Source organism: Homo sapiens, chromosome 12, assembly GCF_000001405.40.
Source record: "Homo sapiens chromosome 12, GRCh38.p14 Primary Assembly".
NCBI classification, from domain to species: domain Eukaryota; kingdom Metazoa; phylum Chordata; class Mammalia; order Primates; family Hominidae; genus Homo; species Homo sapiens.
Window position 1 is genome coordinate 11,920,684 of NC_000012.12, and position 932 is coordinate 11,921,615.

The window sequence follows — 932 nt, forward strand, 5'->3', positions numbered from 1 at the left end:
TTTTAAATTGTGGTGTTTGTTTTCTTATTGTTGAGTTTTAAGAGTTCTTCGCATGTTTTGGGTAACTGTTCTTTATCAGATGTGTATTTTACACACATTTCTCCCAGTCTGTGGCTTGTCAGATTCTCTTAACATTATCTTTTACCAAGCAGAAGGTTTTAATTTTAATGAAGTTTAGCTTATCCATTTTTTTCATGAATAGTGCCTTTAGCGTTTTATCTAAAAAGTCATCACTGAGGGGTGTTGTGCTTCCAGACAGTGCTGCTGCGTGCTAGTGCCCGGGTCCCTCAAAAAAGAATCTTTTAAAATTTTTTAAATAATAATGTCATCAACTAACCCAAAGTCATCTAGACATTCTCCTATGTTATATTCTGAGAGTTTTATATCTTTGAATTTTACACTGAGGTCTGTGATCCATTTTGATTAGTTTTTGATGAGGGTATAAGGTCTATGTCAAAGTTCAACTTTTTGCATGTGGATTCCAGTTGTTCTGGTGTCAATTGCTGAAAAGACTATTCTTTTTCTACTGTATTGCCTGTGTTGTTTTGTCAAAGATCAGTTGTGTATTTCTGTGTAGGTCTATTTTGGGGCTCTCTAGTCTATTCCACTGATCTATTTGTCTGTTCTTTCACTGATACCACACTGTCTTGATTACTATAGCTTTATATTAAGTCTTGAGGTTGGACAGTGTCAGACCTCTAACTTTGTTCTTTTCCTTCAATATTGTCTTGGCTGAATGACTTTTTAAAATTAATTAAAACATTTTTGGATAGAAACTTTGCCACTGGTATAATTCCTTGGCTTATGAAACATATATTTATGTATCTTAATTTTTAATGACTGAGAAATGTGTATTATTCTTTGCCATCACATAAAATGACCCCAGATTGTATTATCTTTTAGTGGTTTTACTATTTCTATAACCTATTCCT